The sequence below is a fragment of the Homo sapiens genome, chromosome 15 (genome assembly GCF_000001405.40).
Source record: "Homo sapiens chromosome 15, GRCh38.p14 Primary Assembly".
In the NCBI taxonomy this organism is placed as follows: Eukaryota; Metazoa; Chordata; class Mammalia; order Primates; family Hominidae; genus Homo; species Homo sapiens.
The window spans coordinates 100,542,223-100,560,135 of NC_000015.10; the positions used below are offsets into that span (position 1 = coordinate 100,542,223).

The following is a 17,913-nucleotide window of genomic DNA, read 5'->3' on the forward strand; positions in this document are numbered from 1 at the left end:
TCAAGATCCTAAGCTTTCTGAAAAAGTAACATAATAACTGGACTAGAAAAGAAAACTCTTGGACTGTTGAACTTCTTTACTTTGTTCCAGCAGAAACAATGTAAAGCAAAAGATCCTTATTTGGTCACGCATGGCAACAGTAGAAGTAATGTATAAATCATGCGTATTTTCATGGTAACAATAATGGCTCATGGCTTCCATAATCGGCAACCGCCACAGTGACCGTTCTCACATATTGGAGCAATTCTGCCATTGCATTCCTTACAAGTCAGGAATGATCTATTCTTAGTGTGATAAATCAGACACTCAAATGCATGCCATGCTAATACTATGTAAAGTAAATATAAAACATGGAGCTAATTAGTGCATAAAATACCACTGAACTCTTCTATAGTTCCAATTGTGGAAATAATTAGTATGCAATAATTATTACTACCATAGGGCACTTTCTGTATATGTAACGAATTTGTCTTGGTTCAAACTCAGTAACAATTTTAAGAATGTAATTCACAATAAATACATGTTATATCATGATCTAATACAAATACCCCTACAAATATATATGTATATGTATGAACATATACATATATATATATACACATGTATATAACTGAAACCACATTTTCATAAAATAATACTTATCTATGCTATCTGTTTGTGATAAACTCTGTTGCCTATTCAGGTCAAATTTTTTTGTTTGTTTGTTTTTGAGATGGAGTCTTGCTCTGTCACCCAGGCCGGAGTGCAGTAGTAGGATCTCAGCTCACTGCAACCTCCACCTCCTGGGCTAAAGTGATTCTCCTGCCTCAGCCTCCTGAGTAGCTGGGATTATAGGTGCCCACCACCACACCTGGCTAGTTTGTATTTTTAGTACAGGCAGGGTTTCACTATGTTGGCTAGGCTGGTCTCGAACTCCTGACTTCAGGTGATCCACCTGCCTCAGCCTCCCAAAGTGCTAGGATTACATGCATGAGCCACCACACCTGTCATATTCAGGTCTAATTGAGACTGTTTATTTTGAAAACTGTTGGTGTGGACCCTGGCACTGGTTCTCTGTTGGTTAATGCATGACGATGCACACTTACGCTGCCCAAACCAACCTAACTGGACTGCTTTACCATCTCTACACTCCACATACTACTTAGATTTTGTTCTCATTTCAGGTGATTTAAAAACATTTTCTAATGAGAGTTTTGAAATTGAGGGTAAGCTCAAATATCAGAGTGATTCAGTCCTCTGAACTATGACCACAAGAGAAGGCTTCCTTCCTTCCTTCCTTCCCTCCCTTCCTCTCCCTCCTTCCTTTCTTTCTTTTTTTTTTTTTTATTAGAAGTTTTGCTCTTGTTGCCCAGGCTGGAGTGCAATGGCGCGATCTCGGCTCACTGTCACCTCTGCCTCCTGGGTTCAAGCGATTCTCCTGCCTCAGCCTCCCCAGTAGCTGGGATCACAGGTGCCCACCACCACGCTCGGCTTATTTTTGTATTTTGAGTAGAGACGGGGTTTCACCATGTTGGCCAGGCTAGTTTCAAACTCTTGACCTCTGGTGATTCGCCCACCTTGGCCTCTCAAAGTGCTGGGATTACAGGCGTGTGCCACCGCACGTGGCTGTGGGTGGGTGCCTTTCTTACCTTTGAGGTCCTAGCATGTATAATTCTGGACCCCTGATACATGTTTTGAATTTGAGAATAAGTAAAAGGGTATCTTTAGTGTTCGTTTAGTCATGATACAGGGCTAATAACTGCTACCTGGGAAAAACAAAGCACACCGCAGGAGGCTTTGTAGCCGGGGGAAAGGGGGTGGTGGCAGTGGAATCACGTCCAGGCCTCCAGCACATTTCAGTGCTCCCCACTGAATCCCCCACCTCGGCACCCAGCAGGAACCTGGGCCAGATCCCTGTTTACCTGGGTGGGGTTAGCGTCCAGAGGAGGGGGGCCCAACCCAGCAACCCTCTTCTCAATTTGCAACGTAGAAACCCACGAAAGTAATTACAAACTTGTTAACCGCTGGGCACTGTCGCCCTGGAGCGCTCCTAACGGACTTTGCAAGGCCCAGTACACGGGGGCTGCCGCGAGCGGGGAGCGCGACTGGGCCCCAGGACACCATCTGTGCGAGCACGGGGACTCTGGGCCTTGACCTGCGCGGGGACACGGGCCCTCTCTCGGCCTTGACCTCCGCGGGGACACGGGCCCTCTCTCGGCCTTGACCTGCGCGGGGTCACGGGCCCTCTCTCGGCCTAGGTCTGCGCGGGGACACGGGCCCTCTCTCGGCCTCGACCTGGGCCTGCGCGGGGACGAGGACCCTCGGCCGGGGTCTGGGCGGCACCTGCGGGGGGCGCGGTCGGGCAGCCCCACACACCGCGGTGAGCAGGGCCCGATGCCCTCTTCCCTCCACCTGCCGTCCCCGCACCCGCCCCGGGCCCCGCACCTGCCTCCTCCTCCGTCCTGGGCCGAGGCGGGTCCGCGAGGCCGGGCGGGGGGTCCCCGCAGCGGTGCATCCCGGGACACTGCCCCTCCAGCCCGGGTCGAGGGATGCCCGGGTGCGGGCCGAGAGAGCGCCCAACGACCGCCGGCTCCCTCCCTGGGCGCCCTTTTCAGGTACTGCGCCTGGACCACACTCGTCCTACACCGGCCTCGCGAGACACCATCACTCGTGACTGGGTGAGAGGGGCTAAGCGGCTCACCTGCGCTGCACAGCTGGTACCCGGGACTGCTGAGGTTTGCACCTGGGCCTTCCGTGATTCCGAACCCAGCGCCTTACACAACCTCTTCAGAAGGTGAAAACACGAAGGGTCTACAGGCTGTTGATAGGAAGGGGAAGCCCTTCTGGAGTAAGTCCATAAGCACCCATGGATTATCTCAGCCAGCAAGCCCAGGTCTGCAGCCATTTCCCATTATGAGGCTGAATTAACAGACACGGAAAAATAGAAAATAGATAAGATAAGGCAATGAAACCATCCCCAGCGAGAGAGAACAGGGAGCATTGTTTCTCTGAATATTTGATTAAAATACAAATCTAGGAAAACCATTTACATGCAGTGAGCTGTGCTGGCACCACTGCACTTCAGCATGGGTGACAGAGTGAGACCCTGTCTCCAAAAGACAAAACAAAACATTTACAGAGGAGACAGTGTAGCAGAGTAGGGGAAAACAGGCATGATAGCCATACAGCCCTGGGTTTAAACTCCACTCATTCACTAACTTTGGGATGTGTGACTTCAGGCTTTTTAGTGCTTTTTTTTTCTATTTTATTTTATTTTATTTATTATTATTTTTTTTAAGATGGCGTCTCACACTGTCACCAGGCTGGGGTGCTGTGGCTCACTGCAACCTCTGCCTCCTGGGTTCAAGCGATTCTCCCCCCCAGCCTCCCGAATAGCTGGGACTATAGCCACGCGGCACCACGCCCAGCTAATTTTTGTATTTTTAGTAGAGACAGGATTTCACCATGTTGGCCAAGATGGTCTCAATATCTTGACCTGGTGATCCACCTGCCTTGGCCTCACAAAGTGCTGGGATTACAGAAGTGAGCCACTGCGCCCAACCTCTTTTTTTGTTGTTGTTGTTTTTTTGGAGACAGAGTCTCACTCTCACCCAGGCTAGAGTGCAGTGGCACAATCACAGCTTACCGCAGCCTTAACTTGCTGAGCTCAGGTGATCCTCTCGCCCCAGCCTCCTGAGTAACTAACGACAGGCGTGAACCACTATACCCGACTAATTTTTGTATTTTTTTGTAGAGATGGGGTTTCACCATGTTGCCCAGGCTGATCTCCAACTCCTGGGCTCAAGCAATCTGCCCACCTTGGCCTCCCAAAGTGCTAGGATTACAGATGTGAGCCTCCACACCCAGCCTTGTTAGTGCTTTTTAATAGCCTTTTGACACACTAATTCCCTCATGAGTAAAACCTGTTTTGGATGTAATGAATTGAATTGACACGGAAGAAGATCAAATCGGGTATGAAGAAGTAAAGAGGACCAGGCGTGGTGGCTCATGCCTATAATCCCAGCACTTTGGGAGGCCGAGGCAGGTGGATCACCTGAGGTCAGGGGTTCAAGACCAGCCTGACTAACATGGTGAAACCCCATCTCTACTAAAAATACAAAATTAGCTGGGTATGGTGGTGCATGCCTACAATCCCAGCTACCTGGGAGGCTGAGATTTGGGAGGCAGAGTTTGCAGTGAGCCAAGATTCTGCCATTGCACTCCAGCCTGGGTAACAAGAGCAACTCCGTCTCAAAAAAAAAAAAAATGTGGGATGGGTTTATAAAAGACATCATATTGCCATTAACCAAAAGAATGGCAACCAAAAGACATACTCTGATATACAAAGTCTCAGAAAATATATCTTTCTTCTTAGGAAATTGTTGGGATGCTTACATAACCCAGCCATTTTTCCTGGAAACATTACCAAAGAAAGGAACACAAATTAAGATTTTTTCATTAGACACATCATGAAATAGAGTAAAGACTAAATAATAAATATAATGGTGATAACAAGATGTAGTGTAAAAGTCAAGAATAAAATTTAAGGAGAAGATGTATAGTGTAAAAAATCATTGGGAATAGCAATTTGGTTTATAAATTCAAGTGAAATTAACAATGGCCAGAAAGCTGGAGGGGGCAGGAAGCCCATTACATGCATAATTTACTTCAGTCTTGGCTTTGATGACTAAAAAAAGGAATTTTCAAGCATATTTTTTGAAAAGAGGAGAAAAGTGCCTGGGTGCAGAGGCTCATGCCTGTAATCCTAGTGCTTTGGGAGGCTGATGTGGGAGGATCACTTGAGGCTGAGTTTGAAACCAAGCTGGGCAACATAGTGAGACCCTATCTCTACAAACAAATGTAAAAGGCTGGGCATGGTGGCACACACCTATAGTCTCAGCTACTCGGGGGGCTGATAGGGGAGGATCACTTGTACGCAGGAGTTTCAAGGCTGCAGTGGGCCACCATGATTGTGTCACTGCACTCCAGCCTGGATGACAGAGGTAGACCCTGTCTCCAAAAAACTAAAAAATAAAAGCATAGAAAGGCAATGATTTGGCTGGGCATGGTGGCTCACACCTATAATCCCAGCACTTTGGGAGGCTGAGGCGGGCAGATCTCTTGAGGTCAGGAGTTGGAGACCAGCCTGGACAACATGGTGAAACCCTGTCTCTACTAAAGATACAAAAGTTAGCTGGGTGTGGTGGTGCACGTCTGTAATCCCAGCTACTCAGGTGGCTGAGACTGAATTGTTTGAACCCAGGAGGTGGAGGCTGCAGTGAGCTGAGATTGTGCTACTGCACTCCAGCCTGGGTGACAGAGTGAGACTTGGTTTCAAAAAAAAGAAAGGCAATGATTTAAAGCAGATATATTTTCCAAATAACTATAAGAGAGAAATACAAATCACTAACAATCCATATGCAACCCAAAAGAAAACAAAGGAAACACTACAATAAAATGACAAATATGTAATTTATGACAAGAAAAATTATTTAAGAGGTTACACCTATGTATGTTTTACTTTAATAAAAAGGAAGAAGAGGCAAAAGCTTGTCACTTGTGTTTGTAGTATAAAATTCATTTATTATCTGCTACTTATAAATAATCAGACCAAAGAAATTACACCAAAAGGTTTAGACTAAGAGTCACATAATGTAGCGGTGGAACCTCAAAGCCTGGCCTTGGATTATCCCAGTGCACTTTCCTCTACATGCTACAGTTTTTTTTTTCTTAAAAGATACAAAGCTTTATTAAACAAACCTGGAATCAACATTATTACATAAATTAGACTGCAGTAAAAATTTCCTAGGGCATATATACAAATCACAGTGATTTCCATGGTGCAACAAACAGACAAGATTAAAAATAGGCACTCCCCTCCCCGACCCCCCATGAGAAGGCGAGATCACCCCACAGGGCTCCCAGTTCCAGCTCGCCAAGGGGTGCACAAACCTGCAAAGGCACTCTGCTTGTGTGCATGGCATCTGGCAGCAGTCACAGGGGCCCCAGAAGCACATTGACAACATGGTGAGGCTGCCCAGTGTTCAGCACAAAAAAAGAATTCAGCTACGACAGCTGAGCAGAGCTCAACAGCCATCTCAGAGCACAAGGACTGTGGAAAGGCTTCAATTCCCATCCGCTAAAACACACATGTAATGCCTTGTACATACAGAACAGATGTGTCCACCATGGAAGATCAAACTAAGCATCAACAGAACTTCCCAACACATGATAATTTACAGAGAACTGTGACAGGGCATCCTCCTTTTATTAGCAAGGACTGTTCTGCTGGGTGTAAGGCCATAAAGTTTGCAAAGCAAACTTGATTATGAAAAGGCTTGGTGAGAACACGGCCCCCACCTCCACCAAGACACACACACACACGCACACACCCCAAATAAATTATCCAAATGCATTAAGACACCTGTTCTTGTGCTTTTCTTCTTGCTTTTGTTAGGTGAATCCCGTCCGTTTAAGTTAGACTAATTAGAAGGCCTTCTTGCCTCCATCAGCAACAGAGAAAAACAGTGCATAAGACTCCTCCAATGTGTGTAAAATGCATGCTAGGTAGGTTGAAGGAAAAACGAGAGGAACCCGGGCACCCCATTTCAAATCTCTACAACTGGAGAAATCAAAGGCTGCAAGGACTGTGTAGACCTGATGCAAAGTTAACTGGCTGCAAAAATACAACCCAAGCCAGTGCTGTCTTGCACCCTGTTCACTCAGTAGCTGGAGCAATGAATGATTGTGACATTCTGGTGTGATATTTGTGCAGCCTGAGGTACACCCTGGCTACAGAGTTGAGCCTTGGGGTCTTTAACAGTATTAAGCCATGGTTTCACAGTTACAGTGGTCCAAAGAACTAGAGGCCATGTAGGTCAAACACAGAAATGGCGAACACATCCCAAACCACTCAACTGTTTAGTTCCACTGGTGATTTTTTTTAACGGGTAGTGATTTCAAATGATTTGGTGGGTGGTTTTTTGTTTTGTTTTGTTTTTTCTTTTTCTTCAGAGCAAACAAATGATTTGGTCTTTAAGTATGGAGAGAAAAAAACAAAACGCTGAACGAGAAATTCACTAACAAGTGACTGTGCAGTTGTTTGAGGGCATGGAGAGGGAATGGGGTTGACAGCATTTTGAGGGGATGAAGTGCACGATCTTACCCCACTGCTGGGGGGTTTCTGATTCTTATTCTATCATGCTGACAGCAAATATAATTTGCCCATCGCTGGCTATAGATATGTTTAGGCTAAGCAGGATTTAGACTTCTGTTGGGAAGGAATTAGAAGAATTCAGTAGAGACAGTGTATACTATTTGGTTGTGACTTTATTTTCTTCCTGGTTTTATCAATGCCTATGAAAGCAGGCTGGTGGCTTTTCCCTTGAGAAAAACAAGACTTGCCCCACTATACTTCCTATTGTGGCATATCCATTTCCTAAAGATATTATCTTATAGTGTTCCAATTTAAGAAAATACTTCCAACTCATAAAATTACATGAAACAAAGTACATTTGTAATTTTTTTCTGATACAAATTTTGTGATTATCGTGATGAATTTTCCTCCACATTTAGCACAGTGATTGTTTCACGTGATCATCTATGCGGAAATTTTGGAATGCCCACCCAGATAAACTATTTTTATTTTTATTTTTTGAGATGGAGTCTTGCCCTGTCACCCAGGCTAGAGTGCAGAGGCACAATCCTGGCTCATTGCAGCCTCCGCCTCCCGAATCCAAGCGATTCTCCTGCCTCAGCCTCCTGAGCAGCTGGGGCCACAGGCACCCACCAGCATGCCTAATTTTTGTAGTTTTAGTAGAGATGGGGGTTTCGCCATGCGGGCCAGGCTGGTCTCGAACTCCCAACCGTGGGTGATCTGCCCACCTCGGCCTCCCAAAGTGCTGGGATCACAGGCGTGAGCCACCATGACGGGCCAGGTAAACTATTTTAAAATTATACATAGTGATTGTTCTATGTTTATAGCTCATTTTGATTAAATTAACCTCTACAGGACATTGGGCCATTTAAACTATGACCCCGCCATGGGGCAGTTACCAGGTAGCCTGTCTCACTTCAAATGTTGAAATGTGCATGATGGTCAAAAGTGGGTTTCACACCATCACACGTTCTTGGAAGTGCTTCTAATTTCTCATTTGTTCTGTATGGCTAGAGGCTGATTACAATGTCCGTAAAGAACAAGGTCATCAATGTGCTTTGCATATTTCATTTTCATGCATATCTGTTTGTTGCGGGAAGTCAGGGACCCCAAACGGAGGGACCGGCTGAAGCCATGGCAGAAGAACGTGGATTGTGAAGATTTCATGGACGTTTATTAGTTCCCCAAATTAATACTTTTGTAATTTCTTATGCCTGTCTTTACTGCAATCTCTAAACATAAATTGTAAAGATTTCATGGACACTTATCACTTCCCCAATCAATACTCTTGTGATTTCCTATGCCTGTCTTTAATCTCTTAATCCTGTCAGCTGACGAAGATGTATGTCACCTCAGGACCCTGTAATAATTGCATTAACTGCACAAATTGTACAGCATGTGTGTTTGAGCAGTATGAAATCTGGGTACCTTGAAAAAAGAACAGGATAACAGCAATTGTTCAGGGAATAAGAGAGATAGCCTTAAACTCTGACTGCCGGTGAGCCAGGCGGAACAGAGCCATATTTCTCTTCTTTCAAAAGCAAATGGGAGAAATATCGCTGAATTATTTTTCTCAGCAAGGAACATCCCTGAGAAAGAGAATGTGCGCCTGGGGGTGGGTCTCTGAACTGGCCCCCCTGGGCGTGGTCATCTCTTATGGTCAAGACTGCAGGGGTGAAATAGACCTCAGTCTCCCATAGCGCTCCCAGGCTTATTAGGAAGAGGAAATTCCCGCCTAATAAATTTTGGTCAGACCGGTTGATCTCAAAAACCCTGTCTCCTGATAAGATGTTATCAATGACAATGGTGCCCGAAACTTCATTAGCAATTTTAATTTCGCCTCGGTCCTGTGGTCCTGTGATCTCACCCTGCCTCCACTTGCCTTGTGATATTCTATTACCTTCTGAAGTACTTGATGTCTGTGACCCACACCTATTCGCACACTCCCTCCCCTTTTGAAAATCCCTAATAAAAACTTGCTGGTTTTTGTGGCTTGTGGGGCATCACGGAACCTACCGACATGTGATGTCTCCCCCGGACGCTCAGCTTTAAAATTTCTCTCTTTTGTACTCTGTCCCTTTATTTCTCAAGCTGGCCGATGCTTAAGGAAAACAGAAAAGAACCTACGTGAATATCGGGGCAGGTTCCCCAGTATCTGTTCACAATTAAGGCAAGGCATTTCAGGCTTTTCCTGATGCTAATTTTCATCTCAGTATGAAATCCTGGATTACAAAACAGGCAACCTAAAAATAGGCATTTTTTAGTACATGGACTTATGGGTCTATGTACTTTTTAAAGTGTGCTCAAGAATAGTGTTTCATTTATGGTTTTATTAATAATTTTTAAAGCAGAATTTTCAACAATATTATTACTATGATTTATTTTTATAGTCAGCAAACACGAGACTTCATGCTCTTCCTTCTAGCTGCACATCTCGGTGCACAGTGTAACCTTTTTTAAAAAAAAATATGGAATGCGGCATGAATCTGGATCTTCCTTGCACAGGGGGCCATGCTAATCTCCTCTGTGTCATTCTAATTTTAGTATACCTGCCGCTGAAGTCAGCACCAGTTTCACCTTTTCACATTCACGGTAAAAATTATGGGAAACTGCATGTGAAATGTTTAGAAAATGATGGCCCTCAACTGTTAATCCCAACAGGATGGTGACTGAGACACACAGGCTGAAAATACAGCTGTCTAAAACATTTCCACATTTCATCATCTGAACATCATTTTCCACTAAGTTATTAATTGTAAAGACTTTATTCTACTGAACCTACTAATTATTCTCACCTGCTGAGTTGACCACCACGTGAAGAAAAGGTCATTAATGAAAAAGGGTGGCTATGTTCTGTTTCTGCAGTTTCACTGTGTTTTAACATTTTTTTCCTTTTATAGAGATGGGGTCTTGCTATGCTGCCCAGGCTGGTCTCAAACTCCTAGGCTCAAGCAATCCTCCTGCCTTGGCTTCCCCAAATCCTAGGATTACAGGAGTGAGCCACTGCACCCAGCTTCATGGTCTTTTAAAGCCTTAAGGTGGATGTGTCTTCATTCCACCTTTCATTCCACCTTCAAAAGCACAAAGCCATTGCCTTTTTTTTTTTTTTAATTTAGACAGGGTCTCACTCTGTCACCCAGGCTGGAGTGCAGTGGTGTGATCTCGGATCACTGCGGCCTGGACCTCCCCGGGCTCAAGTGATCCTCTCATTTCAGCCTCCCGAGTAGCTGAGACTATAGGCAAGCGCCACCATGCCCGGCTAATTTTTTTGTATTTTGTAGAGAGATGACATCTCACCATGTTTCCCAGACTGGTCTCCAACTCCTGGGCTCAAGCAATCCACCCACCTCAGCCTCCTGAAGTGCTGGGACTACAGGAACAAGCCACTGCGCCCAGCTTAGATGAAATTTTTGAATGTGACACAGGTTTTTTAAATACAGTATATTCCTCCAACAACTTCAATGTCATTGTAGATTCTTGGAATAAATTCACTCCCATATCTTCTTCTCTTTGTTTCTTCTTTTAAAGTCTCAAGTTACCAGGTAGGAAGCACTAAAGATACTGAAGATGGACCTCCCCATGATGTTTTCTTCACCCAAACTAAAAAATGCATGTGAGATGATTTTTTTAAATCCATGCAACAGACCCTTCAGATGTTGTCCCCAAGAGAAGAGATTTTTGAAAAAACAAATTGAAAAATAAAAATTATAGGCTCTGTGAAGTATGAACATTTACATCATTGCACAATTTCTGTGGATCTGCCATAATGACTTCTATATATACACACAGGCGCGCGCATGCACACACACACACACACACACACAATTTGTGGTTATAATTGAACAAGTCCAGTTCAAACTTATAAACTTAAGTCTATGAGAAAAACCAAGACATCACAGTAGGAACACAACACTAAAGGATAAGATAAAATCTACAAGCAAACAATTTTCAAAACCTTCCTACAGTGTGGAATTCCAGTTGCTTAAATAATGCCAGTTACATTAATTTCAACTGTGCTCTGATCTGTTTCTATACATACAGGCACAAAGACAGAAAAGTGGAAATGTCCTTATCACGTGAAGAAGACATTGCTACTGGTCTGCTCAGGAGCAGCTCTTTGTTGCAGGCAGATTCCAGCCTTCCTGCTTCTTCCAGATGTGAGCTCCTGTCCTCAGAAATTCTTGAAGATTTCTAAACCCTTCTGCGGCACGGTCGCGGCTGTGTCCCAGTCATTCTCGGGGTAAGTTCCGAAGTTGGAGGTGTCGCCTTCGCGGGCTATCTTGGGCACGATGGGAGGCTTCAGTTTTCTCTGAGGAACAGCTTCCCAGTCCACAGAGCGGAACCACCGATGGCGTTTCACATCATTCGCCCCGTTCTTCATATTTCCTAACCACCTTGTTCTGTCAACCACGAGCAGTTTCTTAATGAGATCTTTCACATGGAAATCCAAATGTCTGGGGAAATCTATCTTGTCTGCAAGAATTTTCTGATAAATGCCAAACATGTTGTCACACACACACACACACACACACACACACACACACACACACACAAATGGAGGAAATCCCGAGAGCATCTCGAATATCAGGATGCTGAGGGCCCACCAGTCCACAGCCCTTCCGTGACCCTCGCTCTGAATGACTTCGGGGGCCAGGTACTCGGGTATTCCGCAGAGGGTCCAAGTCCTGTCTACCAGCTTCTTGGCGAACCCAAAGTCCGTGAGCTTGATGTGTCCGTCCCTATCCAGCAGGATGTTCTCCGGCTTCAAGTCCCTGTAGATGATCTCCTTAGAGTGCAGGATGGCACAGATGATCTCTGCAGAGTAGAAGAGCCCCCGGTTGCGCAGGTAGCTGAAGAGCTCACAGCCCGGAACATACTCCATGAGCCTGCAGAGGAAGCGCTAGTCATGCCCCGTCCAGCACAGCCTGATGAGAAACGGGTGGATGATTCCTTCAGGACGCAGATGAGGGACGGGTGGATGATTCCTTCCGGACGCAGATGAGGGACGGGCGGATGACTTCCTTCCGGACGCAGATGAGGGACGGGTGGATGACTTCCTTCCGGACGCAGATGAGGGACGGGTGGATGACTTCCTTCCGGACGCAGATGAGGGACGGGCGGATGACTTCCTTCCGGACGCAGATGAGGGACGGGCGGATGACTTCCTTCGGGACGCAGATGAGGGACGGGCGGATGACTTCCTTCGGGACGCAGATGAGGGACGGGCGGATGATTCCTTCCGGACGCAGATGAGGAACGGGCGGATGATTCCTTCCAGACGCAGATGAGGGACGGGCGGATGACTTCCTTCGGGACGCCGATGAGGAACGGGTGGATGATTCCTTCAGGACGCAGATGAGGGACGGGTGGATGATTCCTTCAGGACGCAGATGAGGGACGGGCGGATGACTTCCTTCCAGACGCAGATGAGGGACGGGTGGATGATTCCTTCAGGACGCAGATGAGGGACGGGTGGATGATTCCTTCCAGACGCAGATGAGGGACGGGTGGATGACTTCCTTCAGGACGCAGATGAGGAACGGGTGGATGATTCCTTCAGGACGCAGATGAGGGACGGGCGGATGACTTCCTTCCAGACGCAGATGAGGAACGGGCGGATGACTTCCTTCAGGACGCAGATGAGGGACGGGCGGATGACTTCCTTCCAGACGCAGATGAGGGATGGGTGGATGATTCCTTCAGGACGCAGATGAGGGACGGGTGGATGATTCCTTCCGGACGCAGATGAGGAACGGGCGGATGACCTCCTTCCGGACGCAGATGAGGGACGGGTGGATGATTCCTTCAGGACGCAGATGAGGGACGGGTGGATGATTCCTTCCAGACGCAGATGAGGGACGGGCAGATGACTTCCTTCCGGACGCAGATGAGGGACGGGTGGATGATTCCTTCCAGACGCAGATGAGGAACGGGCGGATGACCTCCTTCCGGACGCAGATGAGGGACGGGCGGATGATTCCTTCAGGACGCAGATGAGGGACGGGCGGATGACTTCCTTCCAGACGCAGATGAGGGACGGGCGGATGACTTCCTTCGGGACGCCGATGAGGAACGGGTGGATGATTCCTTCAGGACGCAGATGAGGGACGGGCGGATGACCTCCTTCCGGACGCAGATGAGGGACGGGCGGATGACTTCCTTCCAGACGCAGATGAGGGACGGGCGGATGACTTCCTTCCAGACGCAGATGAGGGACGGGTGGATGATTCCTTCAGGACGCAGATGAGGGACGGGTGGATGACTTCCTTCCAGACGCAGATGAGGGACGGGTGGATGATTCCTTCCAGACGCAGATGAGGGACGGGCGGATGACTTCCTTCAGGACGCAGATGAGGGACGGGCGGATGACTTCCTTCCGGACGCAGATGAGGGACGGGCGGATGACTTCCTTCCAGACGCAGATGAGGGACGGGCGGATGACTTCCTTCGGGACGCCGATGAGGAACGGGTGGATGATTCCTTCAGGATGCCGATGAGGGACGGGCGGATGACTTCCTTCCAGACGCAGATGAGGGACGGGCGGATGACTTCCTTCGGGACGCCGATGAGGAACGGGTGGATGATTCCTTCAGGACGCAGATGAGGGACGGGCGGATGACTTCCTTCCAGACGCAGATGAGGGAGGGGTGGATGATTCCTTCAGGACGCAGATGAGGGACGGGCGGATGACTTCGTTCCAGACGCAGATGAGGGACGGGCGGATGATTCCTTCCGGACGCAGATGAGGGACGGGCGGATGACTTCCTTCCAGACGCAGATGAGGAACGGGCGGATGACTTCCTTCAGGACGCAGATGAGGGACGGGTGGATGACTTCCTTCCGGACGCAGATGAGGGACGGGTGGATGACTTCCTTCTGGACGCAGATGAGGGACGGGTGGATGATTCCTTCTGGACGCAGATGAGGAACGGGCGGATGACCTCCTTCCGGACGCAGATGAGGGAGGGGTGGATGATTCCTTCCGGACGCAGATGAGGGACGGGTGGATGATTCCTTCAGGACGCAGATGAGGGACGGGCGGATGACTTCCTTCCAGACGCAGATGAGGAACGGGCGGATGACTTCCTTCAGGACGCAGATGAGGGACGGGCGGATGACTTCCTTCCGGACGCAGATGAGGGACGGGTGGATGACTTCCTTCGGACGCAGATGAGGAACGGGCGGATGATTTCCTTCCAGACGCAGATGAGGAACGGGCGGATGACCTCCTTCAGGACGCAGATGAGGAACGGGCGGATGACCTCCTTCCGGACGCAGATGAGGGACGGGCGGATGACTTCCTTCGGACGCAGATGAGGGACGGGTGGATGATTCCTTCCAGACGCAGATGAGGAACGGGCGGATGACCTCCTTCCGGACGCAGATGAGGGACGGGTGGATGACTTCCTTCCGGACGCAGATGAGGGACGGGCGGATGACTTCCTTCCAGACGCAGATGAGGGACGGGTGGATGACTTCCTTCCAGACGCAGATGAGGGACGGGCGGATGATTCCTTCAGGACGCAGATGAGGGACGGGTGGATGACTTCCTTCCAGACGCAGATGAGGAACGGGCGGATGACTTCCTTCGGGACGCCGATGAGGAACGGGTGGATGATTCCTTCAGGACGCAGATGAGGAACGGGCGAATGACTTCCTTCGGGACGCCGATGAGGAACGGGTGGATGATTCCTTCAGGACGCAGATGAGGAACGGGCGGATGACTTCCTTCGGGACGCCGATGAGGAACGGGTGGATGATTCCTTCAGGACGCAGATGAGGGACGGGTGGATGACTTCCTTCCAGACGCAGATGAGGGACGGGCGGATGACTTCCTTCCAGACGCAGATGAGGGACGGGCGGATGACTTCCTTCCAGACGCAGATGAGGGACGGGCGGATGATTCCTTCAGGACGCAGATGAGGGACGGGCGGATGACTTCCTTCCAGACGCAGATGAGGGACGGGCGGATGACTTCCTTCCAGACGCAGATGAGGGACGGGCGGATGATTCCTTCAGGACGCAGATGAGGGACGGGTGGATGACTTCCTTCCAGACGCAGATGAGGAACGGGTGGATGACTTCCTTCGGGACGCCGATGAGGAACGGGTGGATGATTCCTTCAGGACGCAGATGAGGAACGGGCGGATGACTTCCTTCGGGACGCCGATGAGGAACGGGTGGATGATTCCTTCAGGACGCAGATGAGGGACGGGTGGATGACTTCCTTCCAGACGCAGATGAGGGACGGGCGGATGACTTCCTTCCAGACGCAGATGAGGGACGGGCGGATGACTTCCTTCCAGACGCAGATGAGGGACGGGCGGATGATTCCTTCAGGACGCAGATGAGGGACGGGCGGATGACTTCCTTCCAGACGCAGATGAGGGACGGGCGGATGACTTCCTTCCAGACGCAGATGAGGGACGGGCGGATGATTCCTTCCGGACGCAGATGAGGGACGGGCGGATGACTTCCTTCGGGACGCCGATGAGGAACGGGTGGATGATTCCTTCAGGACGCAGATGAGGAACGGGCGGATGACTTCCTTCCAGACGCAGATGAGGAAAGGGCGGATGACTTCCTTCAGGACGCAGATGAGGGACGGGCGGATGACTTCCTTCCAGACGCAGATGAGGGACGGGCGGATGATTCCTTCCGGACGCAGATGAGGGACGGGCGGATGACTTCCTTCCGGACGCAGATGAGCGACGGGTGGATGACTTCCTTCCAGACGCAGATGAGGGATGGGCGGATGACTTCCTTCCGGACGCAGATGAGGAACGAGCAGATGACTTCCTTCCGGACGCAGATGAGGAACGAGCAGATGACTTCCTTCCAGACGCAGATGAGGGACGGGCGGATGACTTCCTTCCGGACGCAGATGAGGGACGGGCGGATGACTTCCTTCCGGACGCAGATGAGGGACGGGCTGATGACTTCCTTCCGGACACAGATGAGGGACGGGCGGATGACTTCCTTCCGGACGCAGATGAGGGACGGGCGGATGATTCCTTCGGGACGCAGATGAGGGACGGGCGGATGACTTCCTTCCGGACGCAGATGAGGGACGGGCGGATGACTTCCTTCCGGACGCAGATGAGCGACGGGCGGATGACTTCCTTCCGGACGCAGATGAGGGACGGGCGGATGACTTCCTTCCGGACGCAGATGAGGGACGGGCGGATGACTTCCTTCCGGACGCAGATGAGCGACGGGCGGATGACTTCCTTCCGGACGCAGATGAGGAAGGGATTCCTTCCGGACGCAGATGAGGGACGGGCGGATGATTCCTTCCGGACACACCTCTCAATGTGCACGTGCTGCTCCTGCCAGGCGGATGACATCAGGAATGCTCATCAACTTGAGGGCGAAGAAATGCTTGGCGGTCTTCTCCTTCACCGGGTGCACCCGCCCGAACGTCCCAGTGCCCACGGTGGCCAGTGTGTCGAAGTCCTGCAGGCGGTGGGCAGGCGGCTCCGGCGACCAGGCCTTGGGGCTGGGGCAGAATGCGGGTGCCCAGCCGGGGGTCTCCTCCCACACCTCTCGGGGGTCGCTCTCCGCCACGGCCGCCTGGGCCAGTCGGGGCTCCTCCATGCGGACACACTCAGGTCCGGGGCACCGGGCCAGGCCGGAGCGCTCGGGTAGCCGGGCTTCCCGGGACGCAGCCTCGGAGGGCGGCGTGGTGGTGGCATCAACGGAGGCTCCCCATGCGTGCCCTCGCCTCCCAGCGCGCGGCCCGGCGCAGCTGACAACGCCCCCGGGTGGGAGCAGCTGCCGGCCTCGTCGGGGGGTGGGCACTGAGTGCCGCGCAGCAGCGGGGAAGATGGGGCCCGTGGCCCAGGCTGTGGGGGCAGGGAGGGGGCCCTGCGCATTCCCAGTCTCGCGCCCGCCGCCTCCTCCAGCTTGGTAGCCGCCAGCGTGCTCTACGGTGTTTTTGTTTGTTTTTTACCAGCTGATTCACAACTCAAGTAGCACAGTGAAGGTGGACAATTTGGACTGCCTAAGCATCCCAGCATCGTCTGTTCTACATATCACTATTCCAAATGGCATGCTGCTGTGTTTGTGAATCCAGCCTCCCACATTGGGTATGTCACCATTGGCCTATAACAACTGGAATGACACATCTTCACTAGAGGCAGGCCTTGGCCATCCTCCACAGCAGACTATTGAGTAACAAAATAAGCAGTACTATTTATTTACTTCTTACTATGCTGTTTAAAAAAAAAGCCTCTGATGAAATCCTGGTGGCTTCTTCTCTGTTCTTACCAATCCAGGAAGTGTAGAGAGCTGTTGAGCCCTGTTTCCAAATCCCCAGGTGAAGCTGCGCTGACATGCCTTCTGTCCATACAGCCCTTTCCAAGACTCAGCTATTTGTGATCACCCCCAAATGTTACCCTGATTCTATTACCAATTTGTAATAAAACTCACTTGTATGGTGGAAAGGCTGTTGCCAATTAATTTTATTTTCGTCACCCATTTTCCCTTCCATGTAATCGTCAAATTGTTTATTGTACATATTAAAAATGACACACAATCAAGAGGGCATATGCTATATTCAAGCAAAGAATGCTATGTGAGCCACGCGTGGTGGCTCACGCCTGTAATGCCAGCACTTTGGGAGGCCAAGGGGGGTGGATCAATTGAGGTCAGGGGTTTGAGACCAGCCTGGCCAACACAGTGAAACCCCATTTCTACTAAAAATACAAAAAAAAAAAATACCCGGACATGGTGGTGCACGCTTGTAATCCTAGCTACTTGGGAGGCTGAGGCAGGAG

The 17,913-nt window shown here is 49.7% G+C and overlaps 1 protein-coding gene, 1 long non-coding RNA gene and 2 pseudogenes across 9 annotated transcripts in view; 1 reads left to right on the forward strand and 3 right to left on the reverse strand.

Annotated features, from left to right (window-relative positions):
* Positions 1-2,461, reverse strand: part of CERS3 (ceramide synthase 3) — a 144,289-nt gene extending 141,828 nt beyond the window's left edge. For 3 of the 7 annotated variants that reach the window (NM_001290342.2, XM_011521355.3, XM_017022002.2), the window contains exon 1: positions 1,902-2,064. The gene's annotated coding sequence lies outside the window, so the exon portion shown is untranslated. Of the gene's footprint in view, positions 1-1,901; positions 2,192-2,424 lie in introns of those variants that run through there. The other 4 variants (NM_001290343.2, XM_011521357.3, NM_178842.5 and 1 more) reach the window with 3 other exon arrangements.
* On the reverse strand, positions 5,530-17,061 carry PRKXP1 (PRKX pseudogene 1; annotated as a pseudogene). Its single transcript, NR_073405.1, has one exon. The product of NR_073405.1 is annotated as a PRKX pseudogene 1 (transcript).
* On the reverse strand, positions 9,598-9,700 carry RNU6-322P (RNA, U6 small nuclear 322, pseudogene; annotated as a pseudogene).
* On the forward strand, positions 16,444-17,577 carry LOC102723335 (uncharacterized). Its single transcript, NR_135693.1, has 3 exons — positions 16,444-16,600; positions 17,091-17,223; positions 17,413-17,577. It is a non-coding gene; the product is annotated as an uncharacterized LOC102723335 (long non-coding RNA).
* Positions 17,578-17,913: the final 336 nt, after the last annotated feature.